At 49.1% G+C, this 13,406-nt stretch overlaps 1 annotated feature.

Moving 5' to 3' along the window:
- Nucleotides 368-1,317: an enhancer, noted in NCBI's record as "H3K4me1 hESC enhancer chr10:71422303-71423252 (GRCh37/hg19 assembly coordinates)". NCBI's record gives its function as "activates a minimal SCP1, AML or CMV promoter by ChIP-STARR-seq in primed H9 embryonic stem cells {active_cell/tissue: H9 hESC(primed)}" and the evidence as "EXISTENCE:reporter gene assay evidence [ECO:0000049][PMID:30033119]".

A 13,406-nucleotide genomic window follows, 5' to 3' on the forward strand; every position in this document is an offset into this window, starting at 1 on the left:
AGATAAACTAGAGTGAGAAAGAAAGAAGGAGAGAGCCATGAGGCCCCGGGAGAGGGGGACACACCGGTAAGTGGTTAATTGCTACCATTTGTGCACTGTAATTCACCAAGCCCCCGCATATATGTTATCTCATTTGATTTAGTGCTCAAACCCGGCCTATGAAGTCATAGTTCGCTCCCACATACGGAGCCCTGCTGGATGCCAGGTACTTTATGTACATTTCCTGTAGCCCTGTCAACAGCCACAAAGGGTAAACATGACCCTTTTACAGACCATGTACCTGCAGATTGGGCAGATTAAGGAACTCACCCAAGATAAAAGACCAGACCTGTCTGGCTGTGTACCTAGGTCTGATCCACTGTTCCGGACTTGATCCCATTTACAGAGGAGGAAGCTGAGAGAAATCTTGGATGCTGCAGAAGACCCGTTAGCATCTTGGTGGCGTCTGTTCCTTTTGGCTCCATGCCCATGGCTTGTCTTGCTGAAACCCGCTTCCACACTGTAGCCTTGGGGCTTGGATGCCATGTGGCCCTTTCACCCCACCCAAGCCCCTGGGCCATTTCTGCTGGTCCCGTGATTCCTCAAATGAATGCATCCCCTTAAGGCTCTTGGAGGAAGCTTTTCCAGATTCCTCAAGTCAGCTCTTGAGGTCCATAATAGAACCTTGGTGAGTGGAGGCAGGTTCTTGAGAGGAGACAGACTCCAGACCAACTCTTGCCTTGCCAAATGAGGATTAGGGCTTGGCACTGTAAGGGTTGGAGGGCTCTTTATCAGGCTTCGGGCCTGGATGGGAAGCAAACTCCAGGGACATAAAGATATTCGAGGGACCAGGGACCGGGCCCGTGCCAGACCAGCCAAGAGCTGGACCAGGGAGCAGGCACGGGGAGGGCTGTCCACAGACCAGGTGCAGGCAGCAGCCCTAGGGCTTAAGGGGCCATGCCTAGGACCCAGCGGTGGGGGCGCTGCCACCAGGATGGGCACTCCCTCTATCTGGCTCCACACAGCCATAGTTCCAGAACCACTCACTGACCCTCTCAGCTGCCTCTCTTGGCTGGAGGGTGGGGATTCTGAAGCTTTATGGGGCCTGCAGAAGGGGGAGGCCTGCCTGTGGGCTCCTGCTGACACAGGTGTCTTCTCAGTAGGGGAATGGAAAGCTCTGGGGGAAGTGGGTGCTAGGGGTGGCTAGGCCACCACACCACTGCCAAGTAGACTAGCCTGCCCCGCCAGCTGGAGAGGCTTCCTAAATATCTATTGACCGAGTAGCAGAAAGGGAAGCCAGTCTGAATTAGAGTCTACTTTGGAGAGAGAATGCATGAAAAGCATATTCAAACGAGACACTAGAAGTCCCTCCAGGACCTGCCCTAAGGAATAGAGAATGGCTGTCATTAGCATCTTACGAATAAATGTCGTGGGAAGGTAACCTGAGCCTTCCTTAGTGGGTCAGAGTGCTTAAAGTCTGCTCTCCAAAGTGTCTCTGTGTCCTCCTGGAGCCTGCTTGTGAATCTCAGCAGACAGGTTTGGTTGTCAGAGGCTAGCTTCAGCCTGGCTCTGCTGGAAGAGCTCCAGCTGCCCTCCACCCTCTGCCCTCGACCCTGCCCCCTGCAGGATGAAGGTTAATATAAGGAATTGCTGGGTCCTGCTGTGTGTCCACATGTCATCCTGAGCTGCCAGTTTGCCTGAAAATAGACAAATGTCCTATGTGCCAGGACCCTGGTCCTCCGGTCTCGGGCTCTCCTGGGGGTCCAGGTGAGCTGGGACAATGAGGTCGGTCTTGACCCTTCCGACCATTACACCTCTCTGCGCAGGTAGGGTGCAAGCTGGGGGTGAGACAGAGTTAGCTTCAGGCCCCTGGCTATAGGGATGGCGCCCAACCTACGCTGATGGACAGAATTCTATGTGTTGAAGGAAGGCTGGGCTGGAGTCTAACCTCCCACCTCTGCCCCTAGGCTTCTTCTTATCCCACTCTCCAGCGCAGTGACCTGACCTAAGAGAATGCCTCTCAGATATGTGGCCAGCAGGGACTGCATGTCCTGATGGCCCTGTGTTCATAATGGGAAGCCAGGCAGATGCAGAACCCTGGCTATGGGTTCTAATCCAACCCTGGATTCCATGAAGGGACAAGGATGGTGGCAGGATCTGCCAGCATGCTTGGTGGGATCTGCCGTCCCCTGAACCAGTGCCTCAAGCAGGTGGGAAGTAGCTTGCTTTCCTTTTCTGCCAAGGGTAAGCCCTTCCTTGACAAGGGTAACCCACAGGGCCCCATGGGGTACACGGGAGAGGAATGCAGGCAGGCTGGGCTCTGTCTCTCAGATCCCACTGGGCTTTCTAAAGAGAAGTGGCTTAGGCCATTAGGAGGGATACAAGGCTGGTGCTTTGGCCAAGCTGGTGGTTCAGGGGCATCAAGAGTGGGACTTCCAAACCAATAGCCTGTGGGACAAAATGGTTTTTAATAGGCCCATGCAGCGTGGGGCTTTTTGTTTGTTTTGTTTTGTTTTTGCTGTGTGCTTTTGTTTTGAATTTTGAGTTCGCTGTTGGCACTTAAATTTGAGAATCTTTTACATACAAATCTGGATTTCCAGTTTCTCTGGAAAAATCAGGAGACCTAGGCTGGAACTGAGTGGCAGGTGACCCTCTGGAACTCCTCGCCCATCAGCATCCCTTCCTCCAGCTCACTGCCCTCACTTTGGTCACTTGCCTGGCACTGGAGCCAGTGAGGCTGTGACCCTGGAACTGATGCTTTGGGTGGGGACAGTCCTCATGGATGCTCTGTGGGGTCTGTCTTCTGGGGAAGGCTGGCCTGGGTAAGTGATGGTTGGGGGTGGGTGTGTGCCTGATGACTAGGGTGGCAAAGGCAAGTGCCTTCACAGCTAGGCCAGGGGAATTCACCTCTGTAGGGACTTATGAGATCCCTACCCCCACCCACCTCATTCAGGAGGGTAAGGACTGCGGGGGTCAAAGGCTTTTTTTGGGAAGGGGACAGCTTTCCCCAAAGTGCTGAGCTCCTAAACTCCGGCCTGATTAGAGGCTGGAGGAGGAGGAGGGGGAGTCTTCCTCCAGTGTCAGGGCTCAGACCAGGAGCTGTGATCACTAAGGCCCCAGGGTGGCGAGGAAGCCCTGTCAGGAGCACATCCAAGGCCAAGTCAGCTGCTGCCTTCCCCATCTCTCCATCCCGCCGCCAACAACTTCACAGAGTCTCCTTTGGCAGAGCCTGAACCCAGGTTTTCTGTAGCTGCAGGTGGCTGGGCGGGGGTGAGGACTGAGCCTCAGGGCAGTTTGCGGAGTGCCCCAGGATGCTGTAGTTTGATTGGGGAGCGGGAGACGATCCTCTGTTAGGGCTGAAAGGGACTCTCTCTTCTGACCCAGAGGAACCACAGTCCTGTGTCCTAAGCACCTGTTCTTGCTGGAAAGCCTTGGAAAGCAACGCTCTGGAAGAGAGGAAGAGGGCCTCTGCTGCATAGAGTGTGGGTGTGGGTGTGGAATACAGTTACCCACAGCCATCGAGGGAGCAGCTTCGTGGCCTTAATCATTAGGAGGGATGACCCTGAGTGGCTCCAGTTCTGGGCAATGATGGAGTGGAAGACAGGCCACCCTCTGGGGACCTCCCCAGAGGATTTCAGCTGCCCTCCTGCCTGTGACCCCTGGCAAGTAGTTTAACCTTTGTCCAACGAGGAACATCAGAATAGTTTTCTCACTAGGTTGTTGTGAGGCTCAAAGGAGATTATAAATAATGGCAGCCAATATTTGTTTTATTGATTACTGGCCATGAACCAGGCAGGAAGTCCCAGTCATATCAAACATCTGCTCCTTAAGAAAAATGGTGTGTTAGTGCCTGTGTGTTGAACACTGCTGAGCCAGGTGCGACCCTGGGGCCTCCAGAGGACCCGCACCAGGAGTGCAGCTGAGGCTGGGGGATCCAGCGGATGTGGGGACCGGAGACCCTGCAGACCTGCTCCATGCCCACGCACGGCCCACAAACAGCCTGAAGGAGGCAGGAGAGAAGCACAGCACGGGGTTCGGGCACCAGCTGGTAGGAGCACCAGGGTTCGAACACCAGCCACGCCCCACACAGACCTCGGGCATGTTGCTCACTCTTTCCAGGCCTTGGTTTCCTCATCTATAAAATGGGCATGATAGTGGCATTTATGGCACAGCACTGTGGTGCTGCTCAATGAGATGCCATCTGACGTATAACATTTTGAAAGATCAACTGGTATTTTCCCCTCTGGATTTCCTTCCCCACCCTTCTCGGGGTCTGCAGCCAGGCTCCTCAGCGGTGGTGTTCCTCCCTTCTGGGAAAGGACGTGGCAGAAGAGGGCAAAGGCAAATGGAAGGAGCCTCTTCCTGAATTTTGTGTGCAAAAGCCTTGGCTTTAGGGGAAGCTGTAGGGCGGCAAATTGAGAAAAAACATCCTGAATGAGTAAGAGCAGCCCTCCTGCCCAACCAGCTAAAAAAGCGCTCCCCAAGGGGGAGGAGGGTAGCGGGGATATGGGGGAGAACCGGCTCACGGCTGGAGCCTGGGGAAGGGCTGCAGTCCCACCTGAGGGCTACGTGTGGGAGCAGAGGGCACTCATGCCTCCTGTCCTGGTGAGATCCCTGAGGAGGCAGCCAGGCCCAGAGAAGGGAAAGGGCTGGGCAGTGTGATGAGGTCACGGACCTTAGAGAGCCTCATTATGGGCTTTCCTCCCCCACCAGACTGTGAAAGCAGCAGATGGGTCCTGATGCAACCATGGCCCAGAAGAAATGGAAAGAACCCCCCACGCCCCCCAGACTAGAGGGTTCCTGAGACAGGATCACAGGGCAGCTCAATGGCTACCAAGTGGACTCACGACATTGAGGTCTCACTCAATACCTTGTCACTCTGACAACCCCATGACTACCCACAGGAACTCAGACATCCTCCTGGGGAAAATGGCCAGAAGTTGAGTTGTCTGAGATGAAGATTCGCCCACTACTGGCAGGGGATTCAAAATGAAAATAAGGCTGAGTAACAGAAAATGAAGACAGTCCTATGTCTTGCACAGTTGAATTTATGAACTGAGATTTGTGTTGCTTACAAATTCACACAAAGGAGTTAGCACAATGCCGGGCACCACCAGGCTCTGGCTGCTGTGTCCATGTGGTTGGGATGCTGTGGTGGGCCCAGAGCTGGATGAGATGCCGAGCTGGGACTCTATCAGGTGGCTGGTCACCTTCCCTGCTGAGGGCATCAGGTGAGTGGCTGTCCTTCTGAAAGGGTGTCTGAGTGGCCACTCAGCTTCTGGTGCTTCCCAAGCTGCCTGAGATCTGAATGTGACCATCCTCTCCTTCTCCCACCCGCCTTCACAAGCATCTCTCTCCATCTCCCTAGACCCTGAGACCTGGAGCTTTCAGCCTGACATTTGGCACAACCTCAGATGCAGTGATCATGGAGCATTCTCTGGGAAGATGGGCCTCAGTTGTTTCCTGCCCTAGCCTGGAAAACACAGAGATCTCTGAAGACAGCGCAGACTGAGCTCATCAGAGCCATGGGGAGGAGCCAGCCCAGGCGAGTACCATTTCTGCTTCTGGAAGGGGCCTTAGCTCACCCTGCTCTCACTCTGGAGTCCTAGGAGGCAATGGCCACAGCCAGCAGGCATCCATCTTATCTGGGAAGGGGTAGCCCAATCAGGGTCAACAGAGAATCTCCCAGAACAGAACTCTGGCCAAAGCCTCTAAAAAAGCTGCTGGGGATTGAATATGGAGTTTTCTGTACCCACCTGGACCCCACCTGAGGGTCCTCACCTGAGAATCCAGGCTTTATTCTCCTTCATGGAGCTGATCTGCCTGAAATGTCGTCATATTAGTCAGGGCTTTCCAGAGACACAGAGCCAATAGGATGTGTGCGTATATAGAAGGAGGTTTCTTTTAGGGAAGAGGCTCCTGTGACTATGGAGGCTGGCAAGTCCAACATCTATATGGGGAGTGATCAGGAAAGAGTTGCTGCTGCTACTGCTGCAGTTCACGTCCTAAGGCTGCCAGGGTAGAGTCGGCGTTGCAGCTTCAGTTTGAAAGCCGACTGCTACAGAAATCTCTCTTGCTCAGAGAGATCAGTCTTTACCTGATGGAATGAGGCCGACCCCCATTAGGGAGGGCAATTTGCTTTACTCAAAGTCTATCAATTTAAATGTTCAAATACACCCATTCAAATACACCCTCAGAGAAACATCCAGAAGAATGTTTGACCATATATCTGGGCACTGTGGCCCAGCCAAGTTGACACATAAAATCAACCATCACAGTCATTCATTCATTCATCCAGTTTGGTTGGTGGGTATGGAAACCCACCCAAGCCATCTCAAATAAGGGGAATTTATTGTAAAAACATGCAGAGATTTCACGAGAACCCAAAGATGGGCATCAAAGTGTCACCAGACATCATGGAACCATGAAGAGCACAGACCTTTATTTAATGGGTATGGGAAGCAGTGATGGGAGGGAAAAGCATGGGGTGGAATGGGAGATCTTTGATTTTGTCCCACCATCTCACCCAAGTGTGGAGGAGTGAGTCTGCCCTTTGGACATCTCTTCAGCACACTCTGGAGCCTTAGAGCAGCAGCAGTGTGGGGGAAGACCATAAGAGCAGCTGATTTGATACCCATGACTTGTGAGGGGATGGGGAGAGGAGAGGGCCCTTGCTGCGGGGTTGAGCATCAGAGACAGAGCAGAAAGGACCCAGCAGGAACTAGTCTGAGTCATCTCAGAGGAAGGGTGGGGGAAAGGGATGGGAGCGTGAGAAGTGCATACTGTTCCCCACTTCCCCCACCAGGCTGTCTCCAGAGCTTCTAACAGACATTCACGTGTCCTTTCACGTGATCTTGACAACTGCTCTACCATTTTACTAGGGAGGAAACTGAGGCTGGGGATGGGGGTGGGGACAAGAGGAGAACTTGCCCAAAGTCGAACAGAAAGGTCAAAACAGGAATCATTGCCCAAGCGTTTGATTTCCAATTTCAGAGCTTTCCTGAGCCACACTCAGGGCTCTCTCTGCACAGTGGTGACCAGTGGAGAGTCAGGCCAATTTGGTTGGAATTATATACACTGGGGTTCACAACCAGCACTGGAGACACTTGCCAGCTGCATATTCCGAGTCTCCCCCAGCCTGCCTGGTTTGCTCCATCTAGACGCTCTCTCACCAAGACTCATGCCACACTCTCCTAACTGCCTTCCCTGCCTTTACTCCTGGCCTCACAATCCACTGTCGGCAGAGCAGCCAGCGTGGGCTTTCTGCCTTCACTTGATCTTCTTCCACTGGTTTCCAAAGCTTTTTAGCATGGAGTTCACACACATCAGCCTGGCCCAAGTGACCCAGTCCTGGCCTCTGTTCCCATCTCTAACACTCCCCCTCACTCACCATGTCACTCAGCATGTTTGAGACTGCAAGTGACAGAGAGGCGGACTCAACCAGCTTTATCACCAAGGAGACCGTGTGATCTCCTGGAGCAAGACATCTGGAGGCAGGGCAGTGCCAGGGTTGCTTAGCTCAGACTCCACAGCATCAAAGATCCCGGTGTTGCCACTCTTTCCTCTGTCATCCTCAGCCCATAGAGATGGCCTCTTAGGCTGCCACAATCCCAAGGCCACCTGCAGATGACAACATCCAGAGGCAGAAGAAAGCATTTCCTCCATGGTCTCTTTCTATCAGTAATGAAACCTCTTCCAGAAGCCTCCCTCAGAGTACTGCTCTGGCTCATTGGTCTGAATTGCAGCACGTGCCCGAGCCAGGAGGGAAGCTCTGTGATTAGCCTAGACCGCTCAAGTTCATCCATGGGACTGCACAGGGGCTATGTGCCCACCATGGAAGAACATGGCTACCCAATAACTCAATGAAACAGAGGCTGTGCTAGCAAGAAGTGTTTGTGTTGGAGCAAGGAAGGGGACGGGTATTGGATGGGCAAATAATGGCACCTGTCACTCTCACTGTGATCCTGCCTCATCAACCTTCTCCCTCCCGCCTGGAACATTCTTCCCCAGCTTGATCCCTTGCTGGCTCCCTCTCTTTTAGGTATCAAAGAGGCCCTCCAGAATCCTCAATCTGTGATAGTCCCCCACTCAGTTATTCTCTCACAAAGCATCTGGCTCTTCTCCTTCAGAGCACTCATCCCAAGGTAAAGTTACATTTTTATTTGTCCCTTGCACCAGATAGGAGCTCCCTGAGGTGGGATCAGGTCTACTTTTGCTCCTCCAGAATCCCAGGTTCCACGATGGCATATGGTGCAAAGTAGTGCCTACATCTATATTTTGAGTGAATGGTGGCATGAAGGAATGTCAGATGCTATTTAGGCTTTTCAGATAGTTTCTTTTAAAATTTTCTTGATAACTCTTTGACCTAGTTATTTTTATCCTCATTTTACAGATGGGACCACTGAGGCAGAGTGTCTTAGTTCATTTGAGCTGCTATAAGAGAATGCCCTCAGAAATAACGCCACACATCTACAACCATCTGATCGTTGACAAACTTGACAAAAACAAGCAATGGGGAAAGGATTCCCTATTTAATAAATGGTGTTGGGAAAACTGGCTAGCCATATGCAGAAAACTGAAACTGGACCCCTTCCTTACACCTTATACAAAAATTAACTCAAGATGGATTAAAGACTTAAATGTAAGACTTAAAACCATAAAACCCTAAAAGAAAACCTAGGCAATACCATTCAGGACATAGGCATGGGCAAGGACTTCATGACTAAAACACCAAAAGCAATGGCAACAGAAGCCAAAATGGACAAATGGGATCTAATTAAACTAAAGAGCTTCTGCAAAGCAAAAGAAACTATCATCAGAGTGAACAGGCAACCTACAGAATGGGAGAAAATTTTTTCAATCTATCCATCTGACAAAGGGCTAATATCCAGAATCTATAAAGAACTTAAGTGGGCAAAGGCTATGAAGAGACACTTCTCAAAAGAAGACATTTATGTAGCCAACAAACATATGAAAAAAAGCTCATCATCACTAGTCATTAGAGAAATGCAAATCGTTGAGACACCATCTCACGCCAGTCAGAATGGTGATCATTAAAGAGTCAGGAAACAACAGATGCTGGAGAGGATATGGAGAAACATAAATGCTTTTACACTATTGGTGGGAGTGTAAATTAGTTCAACCATTGTAGAATACAGTGTGGCAATTCCTCAAGGATCTAGAACCAGAAATACCATTTGACCCAGCCATTCCATTACTGGGTATATACCCAAATGATTATAAATCATTCTACTATAAAGACACATGCACACATATGTTTATTGCGGCACTGTTCACAATAGCAAAGACTTGGAACCAACCCAAATGCCCATCAATGATTGACTGGATAAAGAAAATGTGGCACATATACACCATGGAATACTATGCAGCCATAAAAAAGGATGAGTTCATGTCCTTTGCAGGGACGTGGATGAAGCTGGAAACCATCATTCTCAGCAAACTAACTCAGGAACAGAAAACCAAACACCACATGCTCTCACTCATAAGAGGGAGTTGAGCAATGAGAACTCATGGACACAGGGAGGGGAACATCACACACTGTGGCCTGTCATGGGGTGAGGGGCTAGGGGAGGGATAGCATTAGGAGAAATACCCAATGTAGATGACAGATTTAAGGGTGCAGCAAGCCACCATGGCATGTGTATACCTATGTAACAAACCTGCACGTTCTGCACACGTATCCCAGAACTTAAAGTATTATAATAATAAAAAAAGAGAATGCCATAGACCAGGTGGATGATACACAACAGAAATTTACTTCTCACAGTGCTGGAGGCTGGGAATTCCAAGATAAGGCACTGGTAGTTTCGGTGTCTGGTGAGGACCTGCTTCCTCACAGATGGCCGTCTTCTCACTGTGCCTTCACAAGGTAGAAGGGGCAGGGCAACTCTCTGGGGTCCCTTTTATGAGGGCACTAATCCATTCTTGAGGGGTCCACCCTCATGACCTAATCACCAAAAGCCCCATCTCCAAATACCATCACATTAGGTGCCAGGATTTCAACATGTGAATTGTCAGGGATACATAGCACTGAGAGACACCAAATGACTTATCTAAGGTGGCCTGGATGGTAAGGAGCAGAACTAAAATTCACATTACTTCTTCTGATTTCAATTTCTATGCCCTTTTTCATATCCACTTAGGTGTTTTTGGTTAAATGACAGACAACTTGACCCAGAGTGTATTAAGCTGATTTACTGCAAACCAACACATTTAAAATTGGTTTCACTCAGCATGATATACAGAGAAATGGATGAAGGATAGATTCTTGAGACTTAGCCCTGCTAGTAGGATGGCCCTCTTGTACTTCCATGTGCTTCAAACCATGATGACGATGACACACCTTGGTATTACACCTGCCCAACCAACATGCCTGCAGATGTTGGTTTAGCATTGTCCGCATTGTTCTAGAGTGAAATGGGTGTAAGGCTGTCACCATTCTCACAAATTGTTAATAAGAAGCCTTTATCAAAGGGATATCTTCGGACTGTCTGTTTCTAACACCTTCTGAACCATGACTTGGAGCCAGCAGAGGAGGCTGTGGCTACAAACTTCAGCACAACCACGAACACTGCTGTTCAAGAAATTACAATTTATGTCCATCCCAAGTTGTAAATGCTAGTCTTTTTTTCCATGGACCTCAGACAATTTTATCCATGAAGCTCCTTCCTCATAAAATCTGTGGAAGCCCAATGTATGCCTGGAGAAAGAGGGTGCCCTGGATCTGGAGGCTGGAGGAGCGGAGGGTAGGTGTGCTGAGCAACTCCCTCTGGCCTCCCCTTTCTCTGACCCCAGGGCTCTTCTAGGGTGATTCTAGGCTTCCTCAGAGCACAGTTGGAAACGCTTGCTCTCCTCCAACCCCTTCGCTATAGGGACTGAAACAGAGCACCAAGAAGGTTAATGCCTTCCTTTGTCACATGGCTAGTATGTGGCAGAGAAGTCTTTGACTCTTGCTCCAGTGCTCCTTTGAGAGGAACCAGCAGACAAGTCTTTAGGCAAAGGGCTGTCAAGACACATTTAAGAAGCAATGTTGGCCCGGCACAATGGCTCACACCTGTAATCCCAGAACTTTGGGAGGCCGAGGCAGGCAGGTCACTTGAGCCCAGGAGTTCAAGACCAGCCTGGGCAACATGGCAAAATCCTGTCCCTACAAAGTATACAAAAATTAGCTGGGCATGGTGGTGCACACCTGTAATACCAGCTACTAGGGAGGCTTACATGGGAGGATTGCTTGAGCCCAGGAGGCAAAATTTGCAGTGAGCTGAGATCGCGCCACTGCACGTTAGCCTGGGTGGCAGAGTGAGACCCTGTCTCAAACAAACAAACAAAACAAAAACAAAGAAGCAGCAATGTTAACCCCTCTTCTATTACTTTCCTGCTTTCCACTCATGAGCTCTTTGTAGCTTATTTTCATAGGACCCAAAGATGTTTGGCTGAGCCTGACATAACAGAATGACTAGCAGATGATCACATTTGTTATATGGGTTCAGGGAAATTGAAAAAGACACCCAGTTCTCATTAAATGTGATCAGGCATATGAAGAGCTTAGCACAGCAGATGAAATCAGCGGACGTCAGCCAGTGTTGTTATTGTCATTGTCCTGCTCTAAGCTTGCTTCTGACATCTGTTCACATTGTGACTCTGAAACATTCTCATCCCAGTTTCCTTGCCTGTAAAAGGATGACAATGACACCATCCTCTTGGGGTTATTTCGAGGACCAAAATAATGGATATACAACCCTTTTGAAAAATACAAGAGTAAGCTAGCATTATTATTACTTGGCAAATAATTGAATTTTCTTCCAATTACACATCAAGTCAAGCACAATTCACCTATCAGGTTTATGACTGTGATCATTTTTGATGGGAACTTGCATGTGAATTTTACAGCTCACACTTCAACCCAAAGGAGAACACTTTATTGACTTGCAAGCTAACACCTGTGATCAAGGCAGAAAACTGAATTTCAAAAAAACCAAAGCTTAAATTTGGAAATTGGGGCATAAATAGGAGAATGTACCAAGCTGTGATTTCTTTAAAAGCTCACCAGACACAAAACTGAAATACAGGATTCTACTTTTGTTTTGTTTTGTCTTGTTTTTGAGACAGAGTCTTACTCTGTCGCCCAGGCTGGAGTGCAGTGGCATGATCTTGGCTCACTGCAACTTCTGCCTACCAGGTTCAAGTGATTCTCGTGCCTCAACCTCCTGAGTAGCTAGGACTACAGGTGCATGTGAGCACACCCAGCTAATTTTTGAATTTTTAGTGGAGATGGGGTTTCACCATGTTGGCTAGGCTGGTCCGGAACTCCTGGCCTCAAGTGATCTGCCTGCCTTGGCCTCCCAAAGGATTCTAGTTTTTAACATCAATTTTGTCTTTGTGTTAAAGATGGGTTGGTGGCAAATCAATGAAAAAATCAATATTGTCTTCTGATACCACACTGTCCTCCTCATACTTTATTTTATTTTCAATTTTAAGTTGCAGTTGAAGTCACTTGTTTACTTGAGAATCAGCCTCTTCGACTAAAAGTTAAAAGGCTTGAGTTCTAGTTTAATTACACCACCAACTAAGTGTCCTACCTTTTGTAAATGACATGTCTCCCTGGGCATCATATACTTCTGTCCTACACAATGGTGGTGTGTGGTGTAGTGGTTGTGGTAGTGGTCATGATGGTGGTTGGTTTGCTGTAGTGATGATGGTGTTGGTGTTGGCTTGTGTTGTGATGGAGGTGTTGTTGCTGGTGGTGTAGGATATAATGGAGGTGGTGGTGGTAAGCATGGTTCTGATGGCTGTGATGGTGGTGGACATGGTGATGATGGTTGTGGAATGAAATGGTTGTGGTGATGGTGGTCGTGATGGTGATGGTAGTGGTGGTAGAGGGGATGGAAATGGACAGAGAGACAGTGGTCAAGGAGGGTTGGCCTAGATGGTCTCTAGGTTCCTCTCAGGTCCACCATTCTACGTTCTTTGATTTCTGCTGCCATTTGTGTGGCCAGTGGTTGTCCACTGGGGCAATCAGTGAAACAGAGGGGAAAGGAAAAGATTCAAAATTGGCATTGTTGAGAGTTTTCACTCACTTGAATTCTCTTTGTAAGGTCTGTGTTTGGGGCACTAGGAGTCCTGTTCTGTAGTATTTGTGGAGTAGGAAAGAAGATTTGATCAGGGAGGTTAGGTTTGGCCAAGAGTCCATTAGACTTTGATGTCTTCTACCAGCTCCCAGAATTGAGATGAAAAGGACAGCACCGTATTAGATTTTTGCTATAAGAACATTTGAAATTGGGGAATATGTAAATCAGAGTCCCAAAAAGAAACAGATGGTGCACTAAATTAGGATAATTCAAGGAGGTTTAATTTACAAAGGAATATTTATAGAATGTGGCCAGGGTAGAGGGGAATCATAATGGCTG

Source organism: Homo sapiens, chromosome 10 (assembly GCF_000001405.40).
Source record: "Homo sapiens chromosome 10, GRCh38.p14 Primary Assembly".
Classification (NCBI taxonomy): Eukaryota; Metazoa; Chordata; class Mammalia; order Primates; family Hominidae; genus Homo; species Homo sapiens.